Genomic DNA, 27817 nt, shown 5'->3' with positions numbered 1-27817 from the left:
GTGTTTATCCCCCACCTCTGCCCCTGCAGGGTCAGCACAGGCAGACTGTGTCCCTTTGCTGAAGATCACAGCTTCTGTCTGGTGCCTTCTTGGCAAGCTGGCACTGTCTCTAGTCAGGTGACTGCTTGGCCCCTTACTACTTACACTCTTCTGTCTGGTTTCTTTGTGACTTTCCTGCTGTGCTGTAAGTAGTCCCTTTATTAGAATCCATCCACATTACCCAGTTATATAAAGACAAATAGTTGGTCACTGATGTAGTTCACTCCCTGAGAATCAGCCTTCATCAAAGATCCCTAACAGTCAGATATTCTGTTGGCCGCTCCATTCCTGCTCCCCATTATTCTAGTTGTGTCTTCCTTGTCTCTAGTGCAGTCACAAAGCATAAGCGCCTCCACTGTCACTTGTTCTTTGCAACTCTAGGATCACATCATTCCCCTTGAAATCAGAGAATCTGCAATCTCCCCAAGCCCACAAAATTCAGCCGTCACAGTACTTTTCAAGCATGCCAGCAGCCCTCCCCAACAAACGAATCCTTAATTTCTTACAGAAACATCTTCTGGGCTTCCTGTGGGACACAGCGCGGGTCGGCTTGGCATGTGGATCACACCTGATATTTTTACCCCCACCTCCTACTATTCCTATTCCTTTGTATGCACCTCTCTTTATTATGCTAGGAAAGCTCTGGCAACACAACCTCAAAATAAGCAGGCCAGTGTGGATTCACAGTTTCTGTCAGACAAACAAACTTGAGCACCACTTCTAACTTCTTGGGCTAAGACTTTAACTTCAGAATCTCTAGGTATCTATGTTGATAAACTTAGCCTATGTCAAGATTATATTCTGCATGCCTTAGTCAAACACCATGTAAATCTATGCCTCATATATTCTCTAGGCTTTAGCTGATAGGGATTAGCAAAGTAGTGTGGTTGTTTTGGTCTTTAAACAATGTCCATTTTCTACCAGCTTTCCATTGCACTCTTTTTTTTTTTTTTTTTTTTTGAGATGGAGTCTTGCTCTGTCGCCCAGGCTGGAGTGCAGTGGCGCGATCTCGGCTCACTGCAAGCTCTGCCTCCCGGGTTCACGCCATTCTCCTGCCTCAGCCTCCCGAGTAGCTGGGACTACAGGCGTGTGCCGCCACACATGGCTAATTTTTTGTATTTTTAGTAGAGATGGGGTCTCACTGTGTTAGCCAAGATGGTCTCGATCTCCTGACCTCGTGATCGGCCCATCTTGGCCTCCCAAAGTATTGGGATTACAGGCGTGAGCCACCACACCGGGCCGACTCCATTGCACTCTTACAGACCATGTTGACAAAATTATAACTGCAACAGTCAACTACAATAGCAATTTTACCTCTCATGTACCACTTTAAAAAACACATCATTCCCAATAACCACATTTGATGATTTAAGTAATCATGATACCACCGTACACTACAGATGATCAGGTTTCTGTCTCCTCCCGACAACAAGGTCAGGAATTCATTCAGACTGAAACAGGTCAGCAAACCACTTCCAGATTCTCATCTATAAAGATCTATTTCTAGAACCATTTCTAGTACCTATACAATATTAGAATCAAGTCAGGAAGCAGAAAACATTCTAGATATTTTAAACAGAAAACAATTCATGGAGAGATCAATTACAAGAGTATGTGTAGCAAAAGATGAAAGGGTCAGGTTGTTTAAGTAACTTGATAAATCTCTGCTTCTTTTGTGTTGGGTGATAAAAATGTTGACCAGAGATCAGTGGCAGATGATCCAAGGCGTCAGCTGTCCAAGCTCAGCATCTGGAGCCGGTGCTGAGGAAATGTGCATTTCTAGGTCTGGGCGCCATTGGACCATCACTACTGTCCTTGAAGCTGCCACCGTGAGAACTCACATCTCAGCTGCTATAGCCACAGCTGATATTGTCATTGCTTCCAGAATTATTTCCCTTGCTCCATCGTGGGGATCCCGCAATACTGCTGCTGCTGAAATCACTGTTGTTGCTCCTTCCAGAACTGTCGGCACTGCAGCATTATTATCACTGCAGCTACCACTGGAGATGGCTACAGACACCAGAAACGGAAGAGCACCTCTCCCCTCCTCCGGCAGTGTGACTTTCAGTCGGCTCCTCTAGTAGCCAGATGGTATAGAAATGACACACCAATGTCCTTCAGAACATACATGCAAAATATTTTAAATATATTAGAAATTCTATTCCCCTTAGAAAACTAAGTCCACCTACATATTTTTCAAAAATCCATCAGCAATACAGAATAAAGGCATTGGTTCTATACAGCGTTGCAAGAATATTTTAACAATAGAAGGTATTTTAATGTCATTCACCACATTAGGAGATTGAAAAGGGGAAAACACAGGATTACCTTAGCAGATGTAGGAAAAAAATAAGATGATAAAATACAACATTCATTTATATTAAAATCTTTATACCAAACTAGGAAACGCAGACAAATTTCTTAACCTGATAAGCTTATCTATAACAAAACCATCGACACCACCATATGTAATGTTGAAGCATAATCGTTATTTTTATAAAAGCTAGGAAAGGGAATGAGATGTCTGTTGACACTGCTCGTATTTATCATTGTCCTGGGGTTTCTGGCCAGTTCAGTTAAGATAGGACAAAGAAATATTATAGAAAGAGGAAGAAAAAAAGAAAGCACATACGTTGTCATTGTGTGGAGTTTCTGTTTGTTTGTTTATGTGTTTTTGTGAGATGGTGTCTCACTCTGTCGCCCAGGCTGGAGTACAGTGGTGTGATCTTGGCTCACTGCAACCTCATTGTGTGGAGATTTGTAATTACCCATAGAAAATCCAAGAAAATTTGTGGATGCACTAATCAAATCAGCAAGGTTTTCAGATATGAAGGCAAAGTAAACAGAAAATGAAATTCTTATAAACAGTAGCAACCAATTAAAAATATTATATTATAATATCACATTCATGGTAACATAAAACATTAATGTATCTAAGAATTAATTCAGAAAACAAATACATGATCTTTCATTTAATTTCATTAAAGTTATTTCAATAAATATACCACCAGTATTTTTTTAGAACTTGATTGGAAAAGTCATATTAAAATAATCAATGGAAAGAAAGAACCAAAGTTATTTTGAACAATAATAGCCTATCAATATTTAAATGTGTTTTAATTATAATAATTAAAATGGTTTGCTTTGGCTCAGTGATACACCGTTAAACAATGGGAAAAAATGGAAGCACCAAGAAATAGATCCATAGATATGCTGAATACATTGGACTTGTAATAAAAGATATGATACTAAAAGTCAGTAGAAAAATTATACTATTCAATAAATGATGTCAGAAAAAACATATAAATTTTTATCCATATAGAAATAAAAATCTGTATATTACAGCATATCACAAAATCCTGTATCTATTTAGGTTAAAGACTCAAATCTTAAACTACTTGTGAAATTACTTATGAATATTACATGTTTAAGATATTTAAAAGTATATACAGAGAACTAATGACGTTGGGCAACAAATGGCTTATTAATCAAATGCCAGAATGCATGAAGAAGAAAAGAAAAGAAAAATAAATTAGACTGTATTAAAATGAAAAATCCTAGGCATCCTAAATAAAGGTTAAATGCAAGCCAGAAAATTGGGTAAAATATTTACAAAATATATAATTGAAAAGTATAATATCCATTATATAAAGAGGATTTCTACAAATTAATGATATAAAATAAATAATATAGTAGAAAAAATGATTAAGAACTACTACACAATATTCACAACAGATGATAAATAGTGAATTATTGTGAAAAGACAATTGAAAAGAGCAAGGTACAATTCAACAGCAATAAGACTTTATGCCCTTTTCTATAAAAACACAAAACTATGCCAAGGGCTTTAGGAACCGTGAATTTATATACGGTGAAGGGGAGTTTAAATCTGCCACTTTGAAGAGTTTTTTGGAAATATATAGTAAAGTTGAAAATATATACATATGTGTATATATATATACCCACACACATACACATACACACTAGAAGTTCCACAAGGTAAACCTTCTCCAAGAGAATACACACACATTTGCAGAAGAGATGTCCAAAGGTGTTTGTTGAAACATTATTGGTAATAGCTAAAAATTGGAAATAATCTTAAAGCTCATTACTAGGAAAATGGAAAAGTGAATCGTGGTATGTGCATATAATGTAAAACTATACATCAGTTAAAATTAATTATCTGAATTTATATGGATCAATTTTTATATATTGAAACATCGTTGCATTCCAGGAATAAATCCCACTTGGTCATGGTGTATAATCCTTTTAATATGATGCTGAATTCAGTATGATAGTTTTTTTTTAGACAAAGTTTTGCTCTTGTTGCCTAGGCTGAAGTACAATGGCATGATCTCGGCTCACCACAACCTCCACCTCCCGGGTTCAAGCGATTCTCTTGTCTCAGCCTCCCGAGTAGCTGAGGTTACAGGCATGCACCACCACACATGGCTAATTTTGTATTTTTAGTAGAGACAGAGTTTCTCTATGTTGGTCAGGCTGGTCTTGAACTCCTGACCTCAGGTGATCCACCCACCTCAGCCTCCCAAAGTGCTGGGATTACAGGCATGAGCCACCGTGCCCCACCCAGTATACTAGCATTTTTAGAGTTTTTGCATCAATGATCAGAGGCATATTGATCTGTTGTTTTATTTTCTTACAGTGTTTTTGGCTTTGGTATCAGGGTAATGCTGGCCTCATAGAAAGAGTTAAGAGGTATTCACTCCTCTTCCACTCTTTGGAAATGCTTGAAAAGAATCAGTGTTAGTTCTTCTTTAAACGTTTGGCAGAACTCACCAGTAAAGCTATCAGGTCCAGGACTTTTCTTTGTCATGAGATTGTCTTATTACTGACTCAATTCCCTTACTAGGTTAGGTCTATTCTGACTTTCTGTTTCTTTATAATTGAGTCTTGGTAGGTTTTGTGTGTCTAGGAATTCATCTATTTCATCTGGGTTATCCAATTTATGAGCACACAATTATTTATAGTAATCTTTTATAATCCTTTCTAGGCTGGGAATGGTGGGTCATGCCTGTAATCCAACAATTTGGGAGGCCGAGGTGGGAAAATTCCTTGAGGCCAGGAGTTCAAGATCAGCCTGGATAACATGGCAAGATCCTGTCTCTTAAAAAAAAAAAAAAAAAGAGCTGGCATAGTGGCGAGCCCAGGAATTCAAGGCTGCAGTGAGCCGATTGTGCCACTGATTGTGGTTGCATCTGATTGTTGCCAGGGCAATGGAGCTAGACCTTGTCTCTAAGACATAGACAGACACTTGTTTCTAAAACATAGACAGGCAGATAGACAGACAGACAGACAGACAGAAATATATAAAGATATTCTCAAATACATTTCTGTTTTAAGTAATTTAGATTGTTTCCCTTTTCCTTAGTCTTGTCAGTTTTATTAATCTTTTTGAAGAACCAACTTTTGGTTTTGTTTTTTATTGTTTTTCTATTCTCTTTTCCATTTATCTCTGCCCTGATCTCTATTGTTTCCTTCCTTCTGCTAACTTTGGGTTTAGTTTTATTCTTCTTTTTCTAGTTTCTTAATGTGTAAACTTATGTTGTTGAATTGAGGTGTTTCTTTTTTTAATGTGTTTATAGCTATAAATTTCCTCCTTAGCACTCCTTTCACCACAACTCATAAGTTGTGTTTTTTTGTTGTTTCTTTGTTTTTTGAGACAGAGTCTCATTCTGTCACCCAGGCTGGAGTGCAGTGGTGTTAGCTCAGTGGTGCAACCTCTGCCTCCTGGGTTCAAGAAATTCTCATGCCTCAGCCTCCTGGGTAGCTGGGACTACAGGCACATACCACCACTCCCAGCTAATTTTTGTGTTTTTGGTAGAGACAGGGTTTCACCATGTTGGCCTGGCTGATCTTGAACTCCTGACCTCTAGCTATCCACCTCCCTCAGTCTCCCAAAGTGCTGGGATTACAGGTGTGAGCCACCACAACTGGCCACAGCCCATAAGTTTGGATATAGTGTGCTTTCATTTTCATTTGTCTTTAAGAATTTTATAATTTCTTTGTGATTTCTTTGATCCATTGGTTGTTTGAGAGTGTGTTGTTTAAATTCTACTAATTTGTGAACTTTTTAAAATCTTCTGTTATTGATTTCTAACTTTATCCTGTTGTGGTCAGAGAAGACACTTTGTATGATGTCTATCGTTTTAAATCTACTGAGCTTTTTTCCTTTTTTGGGACAGGGTCTCGTTCTGTCAGTGGTACAATGGTACATTTTCTTTGTCATGAAGTACAGGCTGGAGTACAGTGGTACAATCTCTGCTCACTGCAGCTTCAACCTCCTGGGCTCCTAAGCAATTCTCACGCTTCAGCCTCCCAAGAAGCTGGGATCACAGGCACGCACCACCATGCCCAGCTAATTTTTGTATTTTTAGTAGAGATGGGGTTTCACCGTGTTGGCCAGGCTGATGTCAAGCTCCTGGCTTCAAGCAATCCACCCGCCTCAGCCTCCCAAATTACTCTGGGATTACAGATGTGAGCCACTGCACCCAGCCCCTATTGAGAATTAATTTGTGATGTGTTATGTGGTCTATCCTGAAAATGTCCCATGTATACTTGAGAAGTATGTGTATTATGTTGTTGGGTAGAATATCCTGTGTATGTCTGTTAGGTCTAGTTGTTTTTTCAGGTGTTGTTCAAGTGCTGTATTTCCTTACTTATGTCTGGTCTGGTTGTTTTATTCATTTGTGAAATGAAGACAAGGGACAAAATCCTAAGACATCCCCCTTAAAAGGGAAGGACCACCCACAGAAAAGGACTGAGAGACCCCCAGAATCTATAGCTTAGCTAATTGATGGTCTTTCTCTCCTGAAGTTAGTAAAGAGTGGAAAAGATGACTCCTTCTTCAAACATGAAGAAAGCAATCTAAGTCTTCAAAGAACAGGAAGCATGAGAAAATATGACACCACCAAAGAAACAAAATGAAACTCCAGTGGCTGACTCCAAAGACATGAAGATCTACAAATTGCCTGACAAAGAATTCAAATAATCATCTTAGGGTGACATCAGCAAGATGGCAGAACAGGAGGCCCTCCACTCACCTCTCCCCACACAAACAATGATCTGGCAGCCATTCATGGACAAAACTGCCTTTGCAAGAGTTTTAATATCCAGGCAGGAGGTGGCAAAACTCTAGCAAAGCCCAAAACCAAGGAGAGCTGCTTTGAGAAGGCAGGTCCACACACCAGTGACAGGTTCCCAGTTGCAGACTGAAAGCAGCTTTGTCCTCCTATGGACTTGGGTCCAGCTCCACTAGATCATGGTCTTGCAACTAGCCCCATCCACTAAGCACCTAGGAGGAACCATGACCATTTATGCCCCCAGTAACAGGCCTTCTAACCATGGTCCTGACTGCAGAAACTAAAGCAGCCCTGACCTGGCTTCAGCCCCACTCTACCACAGTCAGTCGTGCCTGCCCAGGAATTCAGTGATGCCTTTACATGCCCTTGGTAACAGGCCTGCTGATCTCAGTCTCAGCTATGGACACTAAAGTAGCCCTGTGACTCCATTCCAGTCTTGCTTTGCCACAGTCTGGGCACAGTCCAGCCCATCCTGGGACCTGGTGAAAGACATACCATCCATTCTCCTAATAAGAGGACCACCAATCTTGAACCCAAATGTGGTCACCAAAGCTGTCCTGTGACTTGGCTCTAGCCCTGCTCTACTGTGGTCTGGAGGCAGTCCTGTCTTCCCATGGACCTACCTAGTAAGCCAGCAGGAGCTCAATCTGGGACCCACAGGGAGCTATACCAGTCCATGCCCTTGGTAATAGGCCTGATATCTGAAGACTTGACTGTAGAACTAGAAGTGGCCCCATGACCTGGCTCCAGTCCTGTTCAATCAGGGTATCAGAGGCAGTCCAGTTCTCCTGAGGATCCAGCAGAAACTGCATCACCAACCTATGCCTTGATAGCGGCCTGCCAATCAGAGATTCAGCTGCAGACCAGGCAGCAGCCATGTGATATGGCTCCAGGCCCACTTGACTGTGATCCAGTCAAGGGATCCAGCAGGAAAAGGTTTGTACCTGCTGAAACCAATCTATAAAGACAGAAAGAGATTGGGCATGGTGGCTCACACCTGTAATCCCAGCACTTTGGGAGGCCAAGGCGGGCAAACCACTTGAGGCCAGGAGTTTGAGACCAGCCTGGACAACATGGTGAAACTCTGTCTCTACAAAAAATACAAAAAAATTAGCCAGGCGTGGTGGCACATGCCTGTGATCCCAGCTGCTTGGGAGGCTGAGGCAGGAGAATCATTTGAACCTGGGAGGTGGAGGTTACAGTGAGCTGAGATCACGCCACTGCACTCCAGCTGGGTGACAGAGCAAGACTCTGTCTCAAAAAAAAAAAAAAAGAAGAAGAGGTATTTGCTTCTTCATAGACATTAATGAAAGTCTGTAGATCATGAAGAATCAGCAAATATGACACTACCAAAATAAACTCATAAATCTCCAGTAATCAACCCCCCAAAAATAGAGATCTACAAATTGCCTGACAATTCAAAATAATTAAGATAGCTCAGTGAAATTTACTAGAATGTATATATCAACTCAATAATATCAAGAAAATAGTAGATGAACAAAACTAAAAGTTCAATAAAGATACAGAAATAATAAGAACCAAACAGAAATTCTAGAACTGAAGAATACAATGAATAAAATGAAAATGCAAGCTGGGTGCCGTGGCGGATGCCTGTAATCCCAGCACTTTGGGAGGCCGAGGCAGGCGGATCACTTGAGGTCAAGAGTTCAAGACCAGCCTGGCCAACATGCCAAAACCCCATCTGTATTAAAAATACAAAAATTAGCCAGGCATGGTGGCATATGCCTGTAATCCTAGCTACTAGGGAGGCTGAGGCAGGAGAATCGCTTGAACCGGGAGGTGGAAGTTGGAGTGAGCCAAGATGGCACCACTGCATTCAAGCCTGGGTGACACAGACTCTGTCTCAAAAATATATAAAAATAAATAAATGAATGAAATGAAAATGCAATAGAGAATTTCAATTGCAGACTTGATCAAACAGAAGAAAGAATCTGTGAAATTAAAGACAGGACATTTGAAATATCCCGTCAGAAGACCAGAAAGAAAAAAAAGTTTATAAAGTAAAAACCTTTGGGATTTATAGGACACCACCATGAAGTGGGTCAAACATATTATGGACTTCCTAGAAGTAAAAAAGATAGAAAAGGCCTGAAAGTATATTTGAAGACATAATGGGTAAAAACTTTCCAAATTCTTAGAGGCAAGTGGGCTTCCAGACACATGAAGTTCAGAGGCCCCAAAAAAGGCCAGCCCAAAGACCATAATACCAAGATGTATTATAATTAAAATATCAAAAGTCAAAGACAGAGACTTTCAAAAGCAGCAAGAAGAAAGGAATTCATCACATACAAGGAAACTTCAATAAGGCTATCAGTGGATTTCTCAGCAGAAACCTTATAAGCCAGGAGAGAATAGGATGCTATATTCAATGTATTGGAAGAAAAAAACTGCCAATCAGGAAGGCCACAACTTGTAAAGCTGTCCTTCAGAAATGAAAAAGAGATGATAAGGTCTTTCCCAGACTCCCACCAAAAAAATTCTAAGGGAGTTCATCACCACTGCACCTGCCTTATAAGGCAGTTTTTCAAGTTGAAATAAAAGGATTCTGATTAGCAACATTAAAACATTAAGATATTAAGTTCACAGGTAGGCCGGGCGCAGTGGCTCACGCCTGTAATCCCAGCACTTTGGGAGGCCAAGGCGGGTGGATCACAAGGTCAGAAGAGGGGGATCATGCTGGCTAACACGGTGAAACCCCGTCTCTACTAAAAATACAAAAAATTAGCCAGGCGTGGTGGCGGGTGCCTGTAGTCCCAGCTACTCGGGAGGCGGAGGCAGGAGAATGACTTGAACCCGGGAGGCAGAGCTTGCAGTGAGCCGAGATCATGGACACTGCCCTCCAGCCTGGGCGACAGAGCGAGACTCTGTCCCAAAAAAAAAAGTTCACAGGGAAAGGTAAGTATATAGTCACATTCATAACACTGTAATATTGCAGTGGTGGTGTGTAAATCACTTTTCACTGTAGTATAAAAGTTAAAATGTAAAAGTATTAGGCGGCCCGGGCGCGGGGCAGCTGCTGCGGGGAGGCGGGGAGGCGGGGGGCCTGGCCGGACACCCCTGCGCCCCCTCCCCGCACCCGGGCGGAGGGCGGCCTCTTCCCCCTCCCCCTCCCCCACCACCCCCGGCAGCCGCCTCCCCCAGGACGCAGGAGGCGGGCGGAGGCCGGGTCCGCGCAGCGGGCGACTTGCGGCATGGGCCGGGTCGAGGTGGGGGGGCGGTTTCGGGGGCTGGGAAGCTGGGGTGCCGGGGACAGGAGGGTGGGGGAGCTGGGGAAAGGAGGGCTGGGGGGCCGGGGACAGGAGGGCCATGCAGGCAGTGGCAAGCGGGCGGCGAGGGCTCCGTGGGGCAGGTGGACGGGGATCAGCTCCTGGGGCTGCTCCGTTCCCCAGGCGGGTGTCGTGGCTCTGGCCTCCATGCAACTCCAGGTCTGCGCGCCCCGCGCTGCTGGAGCCCCAGTCAAAAGTCTATTTAAAAAGCAGAGAGAGGATGCTTCCCTCTGAGTGGAGCGATGAAGACCTGATCCCTGGGCCATTTGGGAACACTAGCTGCCTTTCATCACAGTCAACCTGGACTCAGAGAATGTCAAGAGCTTGTTGGTTGGGTCAAGAATGAATCTAGGCATGACGTCATAGTTTATAGTCATCCTTTTAAACCTGCAAAGAAGCATTTGCAGGTTTAAAGTTATTTAAAGTTATTGCAGGTTCTTCCCTCAGACGCAGCACGGTTCCTGAGATGACGTCAGCGCTGCTCGCTGAAAGCACCAGGCAAGGAGGCAAAACAAAGGAAATCCTAAAGAGCAGGCGAGAGAACAGTGGAACTGGCAGAGAGAGGCACTGGTGCGGATGGAGAGGGCAGCAATAAAAACTGGGGGACACTTAGAGGCAAAGGTATGGCAGGTGACAAAAAAGATGAGCTGAAGCTCAGGAGAGACCCAGGCAGCGATGCCCAAATGACCGGCTGAGGAATCACCTCACTGCTGCTGATGCCCTTGACAGCGATGTCTGAGGCTGGCGTGAGTGCTCCATGCTCAGAGATACCTAGAACCCAGCTACAATGGCCTTATCAGACTGAAACAAGAACACCAAGATATTCCAAGGGAGGTGACAATGGGGTCCAAAGGTTGTGCATTTATGGATCACAACTATGTGCTGAGTGTGGCCCAAATCCCAGCTCCATATGGTCACACCATGTCTACAGCCAATCAGCTGACTGGGGTGGCAACCCCTGGCTCTGCTCAACAATAATGACAACCATCATTTACTGAGCACTTACTATGTGCCAGACCGATGCTAAGTGCTTTCCTCAGATGTTTCCATTTAACTCTTAGAATCACCCTAATGAGTATCTCCTATTATTTTACAGATGAGGAAATGAGAGTTTAGAAAAGTAACTTGCAAAATCATACTGCTGGCTCCATAACAAATGTTGATTGAATGTTGTCTGGGTGGACAGAGGCAAGGATGACCGGAACGAGACAAACAAACAAAAGGCTGACTGACAGACCATTCGGGTAGCACTTTTCCTGGGATTAAGCTTAGACCTTGTAGGCCTATCAGCCAGAAGCAGTGTGTAAAATAAGAGTGGCTGACTGGGCACGGTGGCTCAAGCCTGTAATCCAAGCACTTTGGGAGGCCAAGGCGGGAGGATCACCTGAGGTCAGGAGTTCAAGACCAGCCTGGCCAACATGATGAAACCCCGTCTCTCTACTACAAATACAAAAATTAGCCGGGTGTGATGGCACACGCCTGTAATCCTAGTTACTCGGGAGGCTGAGGCAGGAGAATCGCTTGAACCCGGGAGGCAGAGGTTGCGATAAGCTGAGATTGGGCCACTGCACTCCAGCCTGGGCGACAGAGCAAGACTCCCTCTGAAAAAAAAAAAAAAAAAAAAAAAAAGAGTGGCTACCCAAGAACGCAACAGCAGCAGCAAACACTGATCTGATGACACCCCAGTTTTGCAGAAGAGGAAGGAAAAATAAGAATGTCAACTCTCCATTCAACAGAGAAACAGTGCCACCACTGTCTTTAAATTTTCAAACTTATCGAGAAAAGCTCCAGAGAGGCCAGTGCCAGCAATGCCGGCTGTCTCCCAAGTCTGAAGGGTTTTCCTCTGGGTATTAGGAGTTGAGGTGTTTGGTTAGAGAAGAAACAGGATGCACGGGAGATCACACACAGAGTAAGAGGTGCCTCTCAAATGCCTTTCCCACGTTTCTAACTCTGCTTTTTTTAAAGCACGATCAGACCCGCCATCTGCACTTTTACCTGCTGCCTGACGAAAACCAGATGCCAAAGGCCTCCCAGCACTCACGGGGCCCTTTACCCTTAGGAAAACACCGTGATTCAGCCAGGCGAGATTGATGCAACATCGTAACAAAGCGTATGCAAAGTGCCTAGCTCCGGACTGCTTGCAGAAAAGGCACATTTTGACTCTTCTGAGAGTGGGAAAGATTTGAAAGATGGGATTTGCACCTTATTCTTATTCAAGTCTGGAGATCTGGAACTTCTTCCTGAAGCTCCATGTTTAGCCAGATAATTGAGACGCTCCACCTGGTCACCACTGGACATCAGCCACCCAAACATTCTCCTCTGCAAGGCACTTGGCATTCTGGTGCCTGTGGAGAGAGCAGCCTTCTCACTAGCACAGCTCATGAACAAGGATCCCCTTCCCTGGACAGCCAAGATGTAAACCTGCCCCCAGAAACACTGAGAGTCCTAGAGGTAGAATGAGTTGGCCAGCAAGCTCCAGCCCATTGAATGCAGACCCCTGAGCAAATCAAGTCAGGAGAAGGTGGACAACTGTACCCTGAAGACCACATACCACCCAGACCCAACACAAATAGCTGTCAGCACTGCCACCCATTACAGCTTCAGATCTCGCTTCTACCAGCATTTCCCAGCTGAGCAACAACCGTCAAAGTCTGGTCCTGGAAGGACAGCCCTCCCCGTCTTGGCAGCCACACTTTCTGGCCCTAGCCCAAGGCTGCTGTGGCATGGGAGGAATCAATGGAGGAATACATGGCTCTTCCCTGGTTCCTTCCTCTCCCACTTCATTGACTAACACTAGTCACATGGCCCCAACTGAACTGTGAGGGAGGCTGGAAAATCTGGAGTATGTGCATGCCTAGTGAGTTGCCTCTACCACATCCTCTTAACCCTTGGCCTCTCATTCCCAAAGTCTAGCCCTATTTTCAAATGAATTCAACGCCTCATTACTTAGATCTTTCCTCATTACCTCAAAGCCATAGTGGCAAAAAGCAAACAGCATCTTCCTAAAATCTTCCTCTTCCATCTTCCTCTCCTAGATATCCATCTTACCCTTCTTTGCCAGTTAATTTATTACAATCTTCCTTTGACAGCTTCACTCCCTCCCCGCACTGCTATCAACTCAAATGTGAGTTATTTCAGTAGCTTGAGCTTGTCACTGGCCTTTTACTTTTTTCCCCTTCCAAAGAACCTGGTACCCAGCTACTTAATCCTTATCCTTCTTCCCAAGGCCCACTTTCATTCCTTTCTCCCCCATTCATGAGCCTGCAGTACTTTTCCCGCTGCATAAGTCACGTGTCACCATATAAACTCACAATTTGAGGTGCTCTAGAATCTGTCCACGGAATTAGTCAGGACATAATCTCCCTGTTTTTCGGCAGTGCCACATCCATACCTGTCTTCACAGGTTTGCTCATGCCACCATTCCTTTCCCCAGAACGCCCTTCTGCTCCTCCCACACAAATCCTAATCCTCCCTCAGGACCCATTTAAAATACAATCTCCTCACTCAACTCTTTCCTACCAACTTGCTTTCCCCTCTCCTTTCTGCCTTACCACAAAGCTAAGCTCTGTCTCTGAATAATGTGCTTTTTGATGATAATCTGAATGGTACAAGAAGAAATCCTATTTCATGCTCCTTTGAGGGAGTGTCTAATATAGGTTGCCTTCGACTATAAGTAGTAGAAAATTCCCACTCAACTGGCTTCAACAGTGAGGACAAAATGTATGGAGATTGGACGGTTCAGTCTTCAGGGGCTTGGCCCTCAGGGTTTTTCCCATCTCTTCCCGTCTGCTGGCCTCAACAAACCTGCTTTCCTCATTGCAACAAGATGGCTGCTTCACGTCCGAGAATCTAGTGAAAGAAGCTGTCCCTTCTGCATTTCCTTTTACAAGGAAAAACATCTTTCCCAGCATCTCCCAGCAGACTTCTCATACCTCAGTGGCCAAAACCATGTCTAAACTACGGGCCTCCAGGATGGGCTCAGCTCAATCAGCACATACCCTAGAGCTGGAGGCAGGGTCACCTTTCCTTGAGTGGCGTGTGGGAGAGGTGTGGCATCCAACCCAACTGGGTCCTGCCAGCAGGAAGAGAAAAGAAGAGCCACTGTAGGTAACCAATCACGTCTACCACAGGCAGGGACCAATACCACATATCTGTGTTTCCCCTCACTTGCCACCCCCATCCTGTGCTGGCAGATGAGGATGCTCAACAAATAGCTGTGGAACTACAAATTATCCTGTGGGTGTGAGAAAAGAGTGTGCATTATAATAGGGTGGTATAATTGGACATGTGTGCACGGAAAATGGAAAAACAGCCATGAAATCCAAACAGATGCAAAAACGTTCTTAACACAGAAGGTTTGGGAAGCTCTGATCTAAGCCCTAGCCTGGGCCCTACTCCCAGTTCCACAGATAGGGAGCAGGCCCCAGGCCAGAGTGCTGGGCTTCTCCCAGCAGGATCCAGCTGGGGCTTTCTCCTCAGTTCAACCCTTGCCTCTGAGGACCAGTGGTCTACAGTCCAGCCCACAACCCTTCAGACAGAAGTTCCAGGCACAAAAAGGAAGCTCACAATAAGGAACGCCCATGCCTAGCCATAACTGAGCGCATCACAGACTCACACAAATCTGTGGAATGAGTGCATGATCTCATGAGCTCTGGTCTGGAAAAGTAAGTCTCCCTACACTAGGACTTAAAGGGAAGGCTTCTTTGGCTATGCCAATATCTTTCCTGCCACTTTCTTCTTCAGGCCAAACAGCTCCTATCCCTGCCTTCCATCTTAGCTTTCCAGCATACTCTTCCCAGGTTCTTTGGGCTACTGACAAGCACTCCAGACCCAAATACACATGCTCCCACCTGAGGCTGGGAAATGTACCAAGAACTGCATAGAAAATATACTGGACAAAAGGCACTCCAGTCTCACAGATCTCCAGTCCCACAGTCTATATCACCAGTTTTAGCTGTTTGAAGTTTTAGAATTCCTTTTCAAAACCATAGCTAGCATTTCTTTGGCTAGAGAAAACTGTGTGAAATGCAGCCTACCATAGGATCACTGATTACAACATGCATTCAACATTCAATACATATTGACTGAGCAACTATTAGGTTGAACTATGTGACATTATTGACATTCGACTGCTTCTGACCTATCAAAATGGCAATAAAGCTCAACTTAATATTTACTCTATGCCAGGCAGTAGGCTAAGGAAGGATTTGGGACACCATGACAAACAACACAGAAGTAACCCCTATCTTAATGGAACTTAAAATCTAGTTGATTAAACCATTACTTACAAAAGTACAATCTAACTTCAGGATTGTAATTAATTATAAATGCATTTATTTGTTTACTGCCTGACTTCTTTGCTAGCCTATAAACTACACAAAGATGAGGGTTATGTCTCCTCCATTTCACACACTGGCAAAGCATATAGCAGAATACATCATATATTTGTTAAATGTATTGATTAGTGTTACAACAGACAATTGCATGTGCTATGGAAGCGTTTGGCAGAGAGATCTAATCTAATCTTGGAAGGTGAGGATCCTGGCCATCACTAACTTGGAATTTCTGATACTGATGATATAAGGTTGAGTTATGTCTTCATGAAACAGGTCTCTATACAGCATATAAACAACTACCAGCATGCACAGGGGTTCCGTAGGGACTATTTAAAATACTTAAGGGAACAAACGGTTTTCAAGCTCAGTCTAGTATTTCAGAAATTCCATTTACATAAACAATTGGTGCACTAATTGCAAATCATTCTTATTTCTCTCCTAAAGCAGGATCCCCTAAGGATCTTTATTAGGCATTCTATTAGCCTAGTTTGAGTTACAGTATTTACTTAAAAGTAATAACAGTGAAGTTCTTGAAAAATATTTGGTAATTCAGACATTTTACTAATTCAAACTAATCTTCCTCATTAGTCTACGTTGTTAGAGGTTTAACCATTGTATTAAGAGAAAGTATCAAAGGCTTCACTTAGAGTAATAGTCACCAAATTTTTTTGCAAGACACCTTGGTAGCAGGAACCTGAGCTAACATCAGGAGGTAGGTAGAAATAGAAAATAAAGGAATGACAATTTGAAGAGCAACTGCAATCCAATTTAGTCCAACAGATGACACACATATGAAGTCACATTCAAATTATAAGCAGAGCACAAAAATATTTTAGATCCTTATCTTTTGATTAACCTGGTATCATTCAGGGAAAAATGTCAGGGAACACCACTGACCAGCAGTCCTCTCTTATCTATTTTGCAGATCTTATCTATTTTTCTCCCTGAGAACCAGCCCTGGACACAAACTGCATAAACATCAATGAGCCTAGACAGGGTCTTCATGTGTGTTTGGCCTGCCATTGTTCTCTGTACCAGTACGGAGATTTAGTAACACACTGGTCACATTCATGGGGCATCTTGAACTCTCTTGACATGGTAAATGAACAGCAGGTCCTGTTCCCATGCCAAAAGCAAACAAAAACCTGTCACCAGCAAGGAAGACACCCAGTCTCTCCAAAGGATGCCAAAGTCCACATCCAGCCTCCTTTGCAGAGCCTCACAAATCTCTCGGATGCAGGCAGGATGATCACGGGCTAGGGAAGATTATGCTCTGAATGTCTTAAGAGATTAGTTACTTAAAATCCTCCACATGACTTCAGTCATCCCCGTTGCAGATCACAGAGTAAAAAGCCTACCTGATTAAAGCTGAATGCCTATACATTTGCAAAAGGGAAAATATGCAGAAGAAAACAAGAGTCAGATACTGATGGGCATAGCACCAGCTCTAGGACATCAGAGGTGTTGAATAAATGATGACAAGGAGACACACATAGTTCTGATATATTCACCATAAATACCACAGTCCTCAAGGCTCTCTCAATTACTTACTTCCCCCCAAATCAGAGACTGAATCTGGCCTTATCTTCAAATGAGGCCCAGCTCTCCCCAAATTCCAAATATGGGAAATTACAGCTCCTCTGTGGTAGGGGGAAGAGTGGGAAGGCGAATGTTTGTATTGCATAACGTTTTAATTAAAACAAAGATGACGTGCACCAGAGTCTCTTTCTCATCTCCTGTTAGGGGCGTTTTCCAGTACTACTTCCACCCTTTACCCACCCAGGTCACCATGGTCTTTTTCTTCCCTCTAGGACAATTCACCTTTAAAATAAGAGGATTGGGCAAGAAATCTACAAAGATTTTTCCAAAATGAACTCAGGCCTAGAGGCATATTAGTTCTCTATCTTGTTGCTCCCTTCTAGAAGTGCACAGTTCAGAGGGATGCCCAGCCACAGAGGTGCCAAAACGCAGAGCTGGAACCAATCACCTGCTCCAACAGAGAGAAGGTGAAAGCACTGGGCAGGGTGCTCAGAATGTGCTCTTGCTTCTTTGTAATGAAATATCAGAAGACAGATTGTAACATTGTTCAGCAAGCTATTTTTTGTACTGAAACATCAGAAGGCATTATGAAACTGTTCAGCAAATCATCTCTAAACAATGTCATAAAGGGTTACCTAGTTTGGGGTAAGCCCGGAATGAATATCTGCACCATCATTCCTCCCGCTAACAAACATGTCCATCTATGTGAAGCATAATTCCCAACACACCACCATCTCCAAACCAACACCAAACCACTGCCAAACAAAGCTGAAGAGGAAAACCAGAAAGGTCTCCGAGAAGTGCTGCTTGCAGGGAGAAGAATGGCCCTGCACAGAGGCTCCTGAGGGCAGCAGGTGCCTGCTTTGGAGCCTTGGCAATTTCCACCAGGCAGAATTTACAACCGTCTGGGACCTGCAGTCTCAGAGGGCTCACGGAGAAGGGGGAAGCTCTTGGCTACCCGGGAGGTCACCAGTGACTCTGAGCAAAGTGCAGATCAATGCCTGCTTAGGGTTAACCCCAGGCTGGGAGAGGGCATCTGGCAAGGAACAGACCTGGAAGAGCCTGCCCCTCTTTGAGCTGCTACAGCAGCTTCTGGGAATTTGTAAGAGCCATACTGATGAGGGTCCCACACCCTCCCTTGCCAGGGCGCCCTCAGGGAGGCCACACTGCAGGAGGCAGAGTATGAGGTGGGGAAGATGGATCGGCCTTATCCTCACCACCCCCCATACGAGTCTCCTCTGGTATGGATGGTGTCTCCTCTCTGGTGGGAAGTATGTGATTTCTCTATTTCTATTTCTCTTTTGTTCGGGCTTCCTAGAAATTCAGAGCTAGGTGTGAAATTCCCAATTCCCACAGACAAGCAACATCCCCAGCAGTAATAAGGACGTTCCACACACCCAGGACTTGGGATATTTGTGTATTTTCAAGAATAAAAGTTTGCCCTTTAGCCTCCTCAGAGCCCCCTCCCTTCTCCTCGCTCTCCCCTTACCACTGCTATTCATCATCTTACTCCTACAGATACCCCCTCTTCGTGGTGGCACCGGGCACTAGTAACTCATGGCTGTAAAGGAGAGCTGAGAACAAAACAGGAAGAAAAGAGGTTAAGTAATGGCAAGAAAAAAGATGTACCTTAGGAATAAAAAAGAGTTCCCGAATGTCACAGTGTATTTAATTAATGCTTCTATTTATTAAAGATTAAAAATACATATCAGGTGACGACTTAAAATGTTAGTCATGATTTTAACTGTGAATTCTGTGGCACCGGAGATAACAGAACAATGAGTGCTTGTAGAAGGCACTCGGTTATTTGTTGAATGAACTTCTTGGGAAAGCCTTCTTAGGAAAGTATTAGAAGTAGATTCTGCTAAAACAGGGGCTACCCTCAGAGGTCTCAGGACAAGGGATAGAAAGTCAAACACTGATGTTTAAGAAGGGATAACTATGACACATGAATCCCACAGCCATCTCTCCAGAAGAGCAACTATTTTGACTGCGCATGCGGGAAGATGGCGGGCCGGGCGACTTGAGATCCGCGGGTCTCCCTGCTCCTTTTCCGTCTGCGTCGGGAGCTCCCGGGCACGTGAGGCCGTGCCGCGTTTACTGGCGGGAGGGACGGCCTAGCCGGGCGACGCCTCGGAGGAGGCCGCGGACCCCTTAGGTGCTGGGCCCTTGGAAATCGGCGCGTGGGGGGCGGTGCTCGAGCTGAGCGCGAGAGGGCGGGAGAGCTCGTGGGGTGCGAGGGGAGCAGGACGCCCGGCCGGGCAGCATGAGTCAGCAGCGGCCGGCGAGGAGATTACCCAGTCTCCTCCTGCACCCGACGGAGGAGACCCCATCAACGTGGAGGGCCTGCTGCCATCAAAAATAAGGATTAATTTAGAAGATAATGTACAATATGTGTCCATGAGAAATCTGCTCCCGGGGGTATTCTTGACTTAAACAAGGTTGCAACGAAACTGGGAGTCCGAAAGCGGAGAGTGTATGACATCACCGATGTCTTAGATGGAATCGACCTCGTTGAAAAGAAATCCAAGAACCATATTAGATGGATAGGATCTGATCTTAGCAATTTTGGAGCAGTTCCCCAACAAAAGAAGCTACAGGAGGAACTTGCTGACTTACCAGCAATGGAAGATGCTTTGGATGAGTTAATTAAGGATTGTGCTCAGCAGCTGTTTGAGTTAACAGATGACAAAGAAAATGAAAGACTAGCATATGTGACCTATCAAGACATTCATAGCATTCAGGCCTTCCATGAACAGATCGTCATTGCAGTTAAAGCTCCAGCAGAAACCAGATTGGATGTTCCAGCTCCCAGAGAAGACTCTATCACAGTGCACATAAGGAGCACCAACGGACCTATCGATGTCTATTTGTGAGAAGTGGAGCAGGGTCAGACCAGTAACAAAAGGTCTGAAGGTGTCAGGACCTCTTCATCTGAGAGCACTCATCCAGAAGGCCCTGAGGAAGAAGAAAATCCTCAGCAAAGTGAAGAATTGCTTGAAGTAAGCAACTGATGGCATTTGAGAATTTATGTATCACTGAGTTTTTTGGGAATATCTTCCTGGAGAATTACGCATCAAATTTGATTCTCAGAGCAATAAATTATCCATGAAGTGCTCTCGTTCTCAGTAGCGGCATCATGGCCAGTAGTGTCTTTGAGGAGTTCACCACTTAGATTACTGAGTAATTGTGGTTTCCACATTTGAAAACAACTCCTTTTATAATTATTCACTGCTTTTTGTCAGTGAAATAGACATCTTGCCTCCTGAAGTAGCTTCATCACAGAGTGTCATGAAGACAGACAGTCAGGCTGAAAAGGACAGTTCTTTGTGGACTCTACCCTTCCCTTCAAGGAGTATGTCATATGTCACAAAAGAAATTGCCTTACACTGGTTCATGTTTGCAGTTACTGTTGTACATTGCATAGATGTACACACGAATTTAAATGTGATGTCTTTGTATATATCTGTATAATGTTGAGATTACTTACGAAATATGTCTGAGTGACACTTTTCACTCTCGTACAGCCAAAATAATGTATATATGGAAAGTGACAGACAAATTCTCTAATCTCTTTGGTATCTATAACTTATTAGAATCCTCTGGATGAGGGTTAGAAGAGACTTTTTCCAAACTTCTACATGTAGAAGTATCATAAATGTGCTACACATTTATGTTTGTGGATTTAATTAAAGTATTTTAATATGGTTTTCAGTGCTAAAATTGGAGTCAGATACTTCTTGGTTTTAAGCTGTCTACCTAATTGCTGTCTCCCAGCAGATCGGTGGCATGCCCAGTGGCTTTGGGGGCAAGGATAGAAATGTCATCAGGAAATAGCTGAATTCATTGTGAAACATGAATTCAGTCATGGTGATAATTGGAAACTCCTTTCAGGTTTTTGCAAGTAGATTTTGTAATGTTTGTGTATGCAGCCTTGCTGTTGAGTCAGTCCAAGGGGTTTTACTTAGGACAAGTTGTACCTTGCCCTCTCTCCAGCTCTGCTCCCACATTTTCACATACCTAGCTATTTCTACCTCATTGGGTAAGTCATTTACCACTCTGTGCCTCAGTTTACTCTGTAGTTTACCATTAGACTGTGAGCTCCTTGAGGGACTTTGTCATAATCACTGTTACATCCCAGTGCCTCACACCATGCCTGGCCCTTAAGAAGTGCTCAATAAATGTCTGAACAAAAAAAAAAACAAAAAAAAGAGCAACTATTTTAAAAATCAGGTCTAAAGATGAGCCATCCAAGAAACTGCTCTTGCTCCCAGAGGTTTTAAAGAAAGTCATTCCCATGAACGTGAGAAGTAACCCAACACTTTGAAATGATAATCTTTTTACAGCAATAACTGTTGCTGCAGGGCTTGAGAAAAAAAGTTCTCTTCCTTTGGGTTAAAGTCTTAAATGCTGAGCCCGTAGCCAGCAACCTTAAAGACTACTCGGGTCCAGTTCATTCTATCTGGAGGAGTCACTTGGGAATTGAAAACACAGGAAAACTTTTTTTCTGGTCCATGAACAAACAAGAACGCTTAACTGAATTAGACACAAAACTAAGTATTTATGGTTGTCATCTTAACAGGTTTCAAACAGGCTTCATTTTAATTTAACATAATTTCAAAATTATAGCAAAATAGTCAATAAAATACGAACGTGCTTAATTTGATGAATTTATGTGTTTTTTGAAGAAAATATGCAGAATAAACAAGTCAATTATTCTCACTAAATACATTAAGATTTAAGGGTAATATTTTTATTATGACTTGCTCTCCTGATATAGCAAAATTTATTGTTATATAGTTATGGAAGGAGGCTCACTACTCCCCAATGATTTCACAAATTACAGCTTCAGCCAGCTATAAAATAACCAAATCAGTTCTGATATAGCCATAAAATTAAGCCTGAAAAAATAGTGAAGTAAATCATCCCTTTAAAATCAAGTTGTTGAACAATATGTTCTGCATGATTCCATTTATGTCAGAAAAAATATATTTGTGTAAGTATATACACAGAAAAGGGTCTGGAAGAATATATACCAAACTATAAAGAATCTATATCAAAGTCAATAAGGGGCATAGACAAGGAGGGGAACTTTCACATTTTACTTTCCACATTCTTTTTTTTTTTTTTTTGACGGAGTCTCACTCTCTTGCCCAGGCTGGAGTGCAGTGGCGCAATCTTGGCTCACTGCAAGCTCCGCCTCCCGGGTTCACACCATTCTCCTGCCTCAGCCTCCCGAGTAGCTGGGACTACAGGCACCCGCCACCACGCCCAGCTAATTTTTTTATATTTGGGGTTTCACTGTGTTAGCCAGGATGGTCTCAATCTCCTGACCTTGTGATCTGCCCACCTCAGCCTCCCAAAGTGCTGGGATTACAGGCGTGACTTTCTACATTCTTGTAACAGAATTATAGTCACCGTTACCTCCATCAAAAAATTAAAATTCAAAAATTAGGCCAGGCACGGTGGCTCACGCCTGTAATCCCAGCACTTTGGGAGTCTGGAGCAGCAGATCACCTGAGGTCAGGAGTTGGAGAGCAGCCTGACTGGCCAACATGGTGAAACCCCATCTCTACTAAAAATACAAAAATTAGCCGGGCGTGGTGGAGGGCACCTGTAATCCCAGCTACTTGGGAGGCTAAGGCAGGAGAATCACTTAAACCCGGGAGGCGGAGGTTGCAGTGAGCCAAGATTGTGCCACTGCACTCCAGCCTGGGTAACAGAGCGAGACTCCATCTCAAAAATGAATGAATGAATTAATTAATTAAAGCAAACAAATATAAGCTACCTCCTGAAGTAGAAACCAGTATCTCTTCACCTTACCTTTACATAATACTTTACCCTAATGCATTTTATCTGCTGTTCTAAATCATGACTTACTTCAAATCAAATCTTAAGTGAAAATCAAGATTTCCTTTTGGGGGCATTATACAAAAAAGACTGTAAAATTTCATTCTCCGAAAGTCTTTTTAAAAAGGGATAGATTGTATCTGGCTGGGATAGGGTAGGTGTGATCGGACCCGGAGGAAATGACGGCTGCTCAACTGTGCATCTCCTTTCCTCACCCTGCTGAAAAGTGCCACCTAGCATGGTCAATCAAGGTCACCAATGCAAAGCAGTAGTGGGCAAACACCACCCAGGTTATCCAAAGCAGCACATGGGGTTGGGAAACTGATGACCTTGGAGATTTCAAAATCACCTAACAATAACCCCGCCTTCCCTAACCACAGGGCTAAGCAACCTAATGGATGGAACATATGTGTGCTTTGGTCATCCGCAACCCAGACCACTAGACTAATTTTGCTTTAGAACTGGACTATATCAAGTGTGAACGATCATACTTGTTATCATGTGGGAAAAAAGGTTTAATTACTCCCTAATTGTCTGGGAAACAAAAGATTTCAAAATACGGAGCTCCTGGGGGAAGGAGAGTTAATAAAATGGGTCCTTGAGAAGTGAAGTGGGAAGCCTGCCTCATGCCATGGCACCAGCGATGCCACAGGTGTACCCAGTGCCCTGCCGAGAGCAGAGACGGTGTTCTCAGAGTTGCTATCAAAAAGGAGGCAGCAGACTGCATTCTGAAGCATCAGACAATGGGTCACATGCGGAAACAGAATTAAATACACAAAAATAGCACCAACTTAAGGCAAGCCTGGGCAAACTGCACTACATCAAAGAAAGAACACACAACTGGTATCAGATTTTTTTTTCTGTTTTAATAAAGAGAAGGCCTGGACACCTGAAAGTTGACGGGAAGCAGGCATCACTAATTTCTCCGAGTTCACAGTTTTGTTAGAATGTCTTTGCTCTGATTATGGTTTTATTTATTTATTTTTTTGAGATGGAGTTTTTTTTGTTTTGTTTTATTTGCTTTTGTTGCCCTGGCTGGAGTGCAGTGGTGCAATCTCGGCTCACCGCAAACTCCGCCTCCCAGGTTCAAGAGATTCTCCTGCCTCAGCCTCCCAAGTAGCTAGGATTACAGGCACCCACTACCACGTCTGGCTTCTTTGTGTTTTTAGTAGAGATGGGGTTTCACCATGTTGGTCAGGCTGGTCTTGAACTCTTGACCTCAAGCGATCCACCCGCCTCAGCCCCCCAAAGTGCTGGAATTACAGGCATGAGCCACCACGCCTGGCCTGATTATGTTTTGATGGATATACAGAAGCTCTTGCTTTGGTACAGAAACAGGCCCCGCTTTGCTTCGACCTCTGGGCCCCCCACCTTCAGAAATGTCTGGTGCCATTCCTGGCTCCTCCTCTCAGTGGTCTTCCAGGATATCCACTCACAGCTTTCTGATGTCGCCCACCTGTCTCTAGCCCAGATACCCAGTCCTCATGGCAAGTGACTGCAGCAATTTTTACAAATCTACGCCCTTAGGGTTCCCATCCCAGGACGTTCAGGTTTCTCCACCCCTTTAGAAGTGCCCAGAATATCCCCTACCCCACAATTCCAACAGGACGTCACTCTCCTCTTACTTAAGAAAAATGCCTAAAATTCCAGCCCTTCCAAAAGGCCTTTCTAGATTGACCACTCAGGAGTTACTCTGGCCTCCCCTTCACTCCTGCTAGACTGAAAACAAGGACAGACTTGCCTGGCCTCTCTCCCCCAGTAGACACCTACCCCCAGTGAACACATCCTGTCAGTGTCCTCCCGTCCATTTGCAAATTGATTGACTGTTTCATTGCTGGCCTTGGATGACCTCTCCTAGAGGGCAGGGACGGTGGTGTTCGGCAAAGCCTTGGTCGTCTGGATAATGGGAAATGGGGTCTTCTGGTGAATTTAATTACAGGGTTAGGTGGAAACTTTGCTTCAACTCTCATTATTAGAAAGTCTATTGTAAAGCTTTTTAAAATACAACTGACCACTTTCCAGCGAGGGTAGAGTTAATATGCCTTAATCTTTGATTTAGGATCTTGCAGTGCCCCAGGCTCACCATTCTCTTCTGCTACTATAATTATAGATGCGGAAGACATACAGACTGGGCTGACGACTGCTTGGAAGCTAATTTCTAGAATAAACCCTTGCTACCACATCTTGTGATTTTTGCCCTTCTGAAGGTGGAGTTCCAAAATAAAAACAAAATCCCGCTTAACTGAGGGTTCCAGTTGAGGGAGGTCTGCTGCCATGGTCTTTGTTAAGTGCCTGCCACCATGGCCCACAATTAGTCAGTTAATAAAGGGTTCTTGATGAGAGAATTTGGCAACATGTGATTTTCCACAAATATAAGCTTGATTTTGATGCAACCACTCATTTCTTTGAAAATCAGGGGGCATTCACACACAGGTGTTCTAGATTTCCTTACAGTAAAACCAACCCTTTACAAGGAATAGCTGTGTTCACTTTGAAGCAGTAAAGAAGCAGGTGTCCACTCATGGCAAATGAGGAACTCCCCTTTTTTTTTTTTTTTTTGAGACGGGGTCTCGCTCTTTTTGTGTGTGTGTGAGATGGGGGCCACCCAGGCTAGAGTGCAGTAGTGCAATTACAGCTCACTGTAGCCTCAACCTTCTGGGCTCAACCAGTTCTTCCCACCTCAACTTCTGAAGCAGCTGAGACTACAGGTGTGTACCACCATGCCCAGGTAATGCTTTTGATTTTTAGTAAGATGAGGTCTCGTTATATTGCCCAGGCTGGTCTCAAACTCCTGAGCTCAAGTGATCCTCCTGCCTCAGCCTCCCAAAGTGCTAGGATTATCGGCATGAGCCACTATGCCCAGCCAGAAGCTAAAAATATTAATCAAGGAGTCATAACTAAGGATGCACTGCACACCCGAAGCCAGGGACCACAAGAGGTCAGCAACTGGGACTGCTTCCTCCAGTTCCCAGGCTGGGGCTCAGCAGCAGTGGCCTGGGCTCTGGGGACTTACTTTAAGCCGAAATCCCAAACTCATTATCATTCAAACCAATTTTCTGTGTCCAGCATCATCCCACCTAAACTGGTCCTTAAAACCACTGACAGTCATTTCTCCAATCTGTAAAAGGCCTGCTGAGGCCTTTGCATTATCAGGACTTAACTGGGAGTAGAATGCCCTCCCCATCCAAATCCTGACCATTTCTGAACACTCAGCCCATGTCCTCTTCCTGAGTGTCTTCCCCAACAACCACCACCTACACTGAACTTTACTTTGATCTCTGCAGGAAACTGTAGATAGAGATGGGGTCTCACTATGTTGCCTAGCTGGTCTTGAACTGCTGAGCTCAAGTGATCTCCCTGCTTCTGCCTCCCAAAGTGCTAGGAGGCTAGCAGTGAGCCACCACACCTGGCCTATGTATGCTTTTTTTTTTCTTTTCTTTTTTTTTTTTTTGAGACAGAGTCTTGCTCTGTGGCCCAGTCCGCAGTGCAGTGGTGCAATCTCGGCTCATGGCAACCTCCAGGTTCAAGGCATTTTCCTGCCTCAGCCTTCCAAGGAGCTGGGATTACAGGCACGCACCATCACGCCCAGCTAATTGGCCAGGCTGGTCTCAAACTCCTGACCTCAGGTGATCCACCCACCTTGGCCTCCCAAAGTGCTGGGATTACAGGTGTAAGCCACCACACCCGGCCACGTATGCATTTTAAAACGTTATGCTCAGACGGGGTCTATAGGTTTCACCAGACTGCCAAAAGGATCCATGACACAAAAAAAGTACTCTCAGTTGCATCCTTCGGAACCTTTCAACACATACACATATACCTCACTCATCCTTTTGTGAAGAGTGTCTATTAATCACTAGATTAAGAGGATTTGGATAAAATTTATAAACGTACAAACTTTGCTACCAAGGACTGACACATTTACTTTTCTAGCTCATCAGTTTATGTCCTAGAAAAATTCCAGAGCCACATTAACCAGCTGTTTCCTATTTTTCATTTTACGATGGTGTTTCCACTTTCACCTGCAAAGTGACTAATAGTAATACCTATTACAGTAATTTAAGTAACACCATTTAGAGTAATTTCATCTTTAGTACTGTATTTATACTACTAAGAAAGCCGCCAACGATTCAAGCTGCACTCACTGGTGAAACCCTATGCTATATATGTAATTAATTTATTTCCTAAATTCTTACCTCCCTCCACCCCCTCCATTGGAAAATAAACTCTAAGAATGCAAAAGTTTTTGTGTGTTTTTCTTCAACGCTTAGAGCAGTGCCTGGCACCTAACAGTCAATATCTGCTAACTTTGATGAATGAATGGTATATTTATATTATGCAATATTACTATGCAGCCATGAAACACAATGAGTTAGAGTGGTACCAGCTAATTTAATGGAATTTCCAGAAGTATGAAATTAAGAAAACAAGAAGAAAAGTGTCAAAAATATCATCCCACTTTTTTTTTTCTTCCCTGAAACGGAGTCGTGCTCTGACACCCAGGCTACAGTATAGTGCTGCCATCATGGCTCACTGCAACCTCAACCTTCTGGGCTCAGGGAATCCTTCTACCTCAGCCTCCCATGTAGCTGGGACTACAGGTGTGTGCCACAACGCCCAGCTAATTTATTTTAAATTATTTTTTGTAGAGACAGGGTCTCCCTAT

At 43.7% G+C, this 27817-nt stretch overlaps 1 pseudogene, besides 3 other annotated features; it reads left to right on the top strand.

The window, feature by feature from the left end:
- Window positions 1953-2153: a silencer, noted in NCBI's record as "peak4462 fragment used in MPRA reporter construct". NCBI's record gives its function as "represses an SCP1 promoter by STARR-seq MPRAs in K562 erythroleukemia cells {active_cell/tissue: K562}" and the evidence as "EXISTENCE:reporter gene assay evidence [ECO:0000049][PMID:32103011]".
- Window positions 8297-8483: a silencer, noted in NCBI's record as "fragment chr22:21507745-21507931 (GRCh37/hg19 assembly coordinates)". NCBI's record gives its function as "represses an EF-1alpha promoter that drives an FKBP-Casp9 reporter gene in an ReSE screen in K562 erythroleukemia cells {active_cell/tissue: K562}" and the evidence as "EXISTENCE:reporter gene assay evidence [ECO:0000049][PMID:32094911]".
- Window positions 16922-17422: an enhancer, noted in NCBI's record as "NANOG-H3K4me1 hESC enhancer chr22:21498806-21499306 (GRCh37/hg19 assembly coordinates)". NCBI's record gives its function as "activates a minimal SCP1, AML or CMV promoter by ChIP-STARR-seq in naive H9 embryonic stem cells {active_cell/tissue: H9 hESC(naive)}" and the evidence as "EXISTENCE:reporter gene assay evidence [ECO:0000049][PMID:30033119]".
- Window positions 19291-21498, top strand: E2F6P2 (E2F transcription factor 6 pseudogene 2; annotated as a pseudogene).

The sequence above is a fragment of the Homo sapiens genome, chromosome 22 (assembly GCF_000001405.40).
Source record: "Homo sapiens chromosome 22, GRCh38.p14 Primary Assembly".
Taxonomy (NCBI): Eukaryota; Metazoa; Chordata; class Mammalia; order Primates; family Hominidae; genus Homo; species Homo sapiens.
Note: the sequence above shows the minus strand (reverse complement) of the source record. Positions and strands in the feature narration are given on the sequence as shown.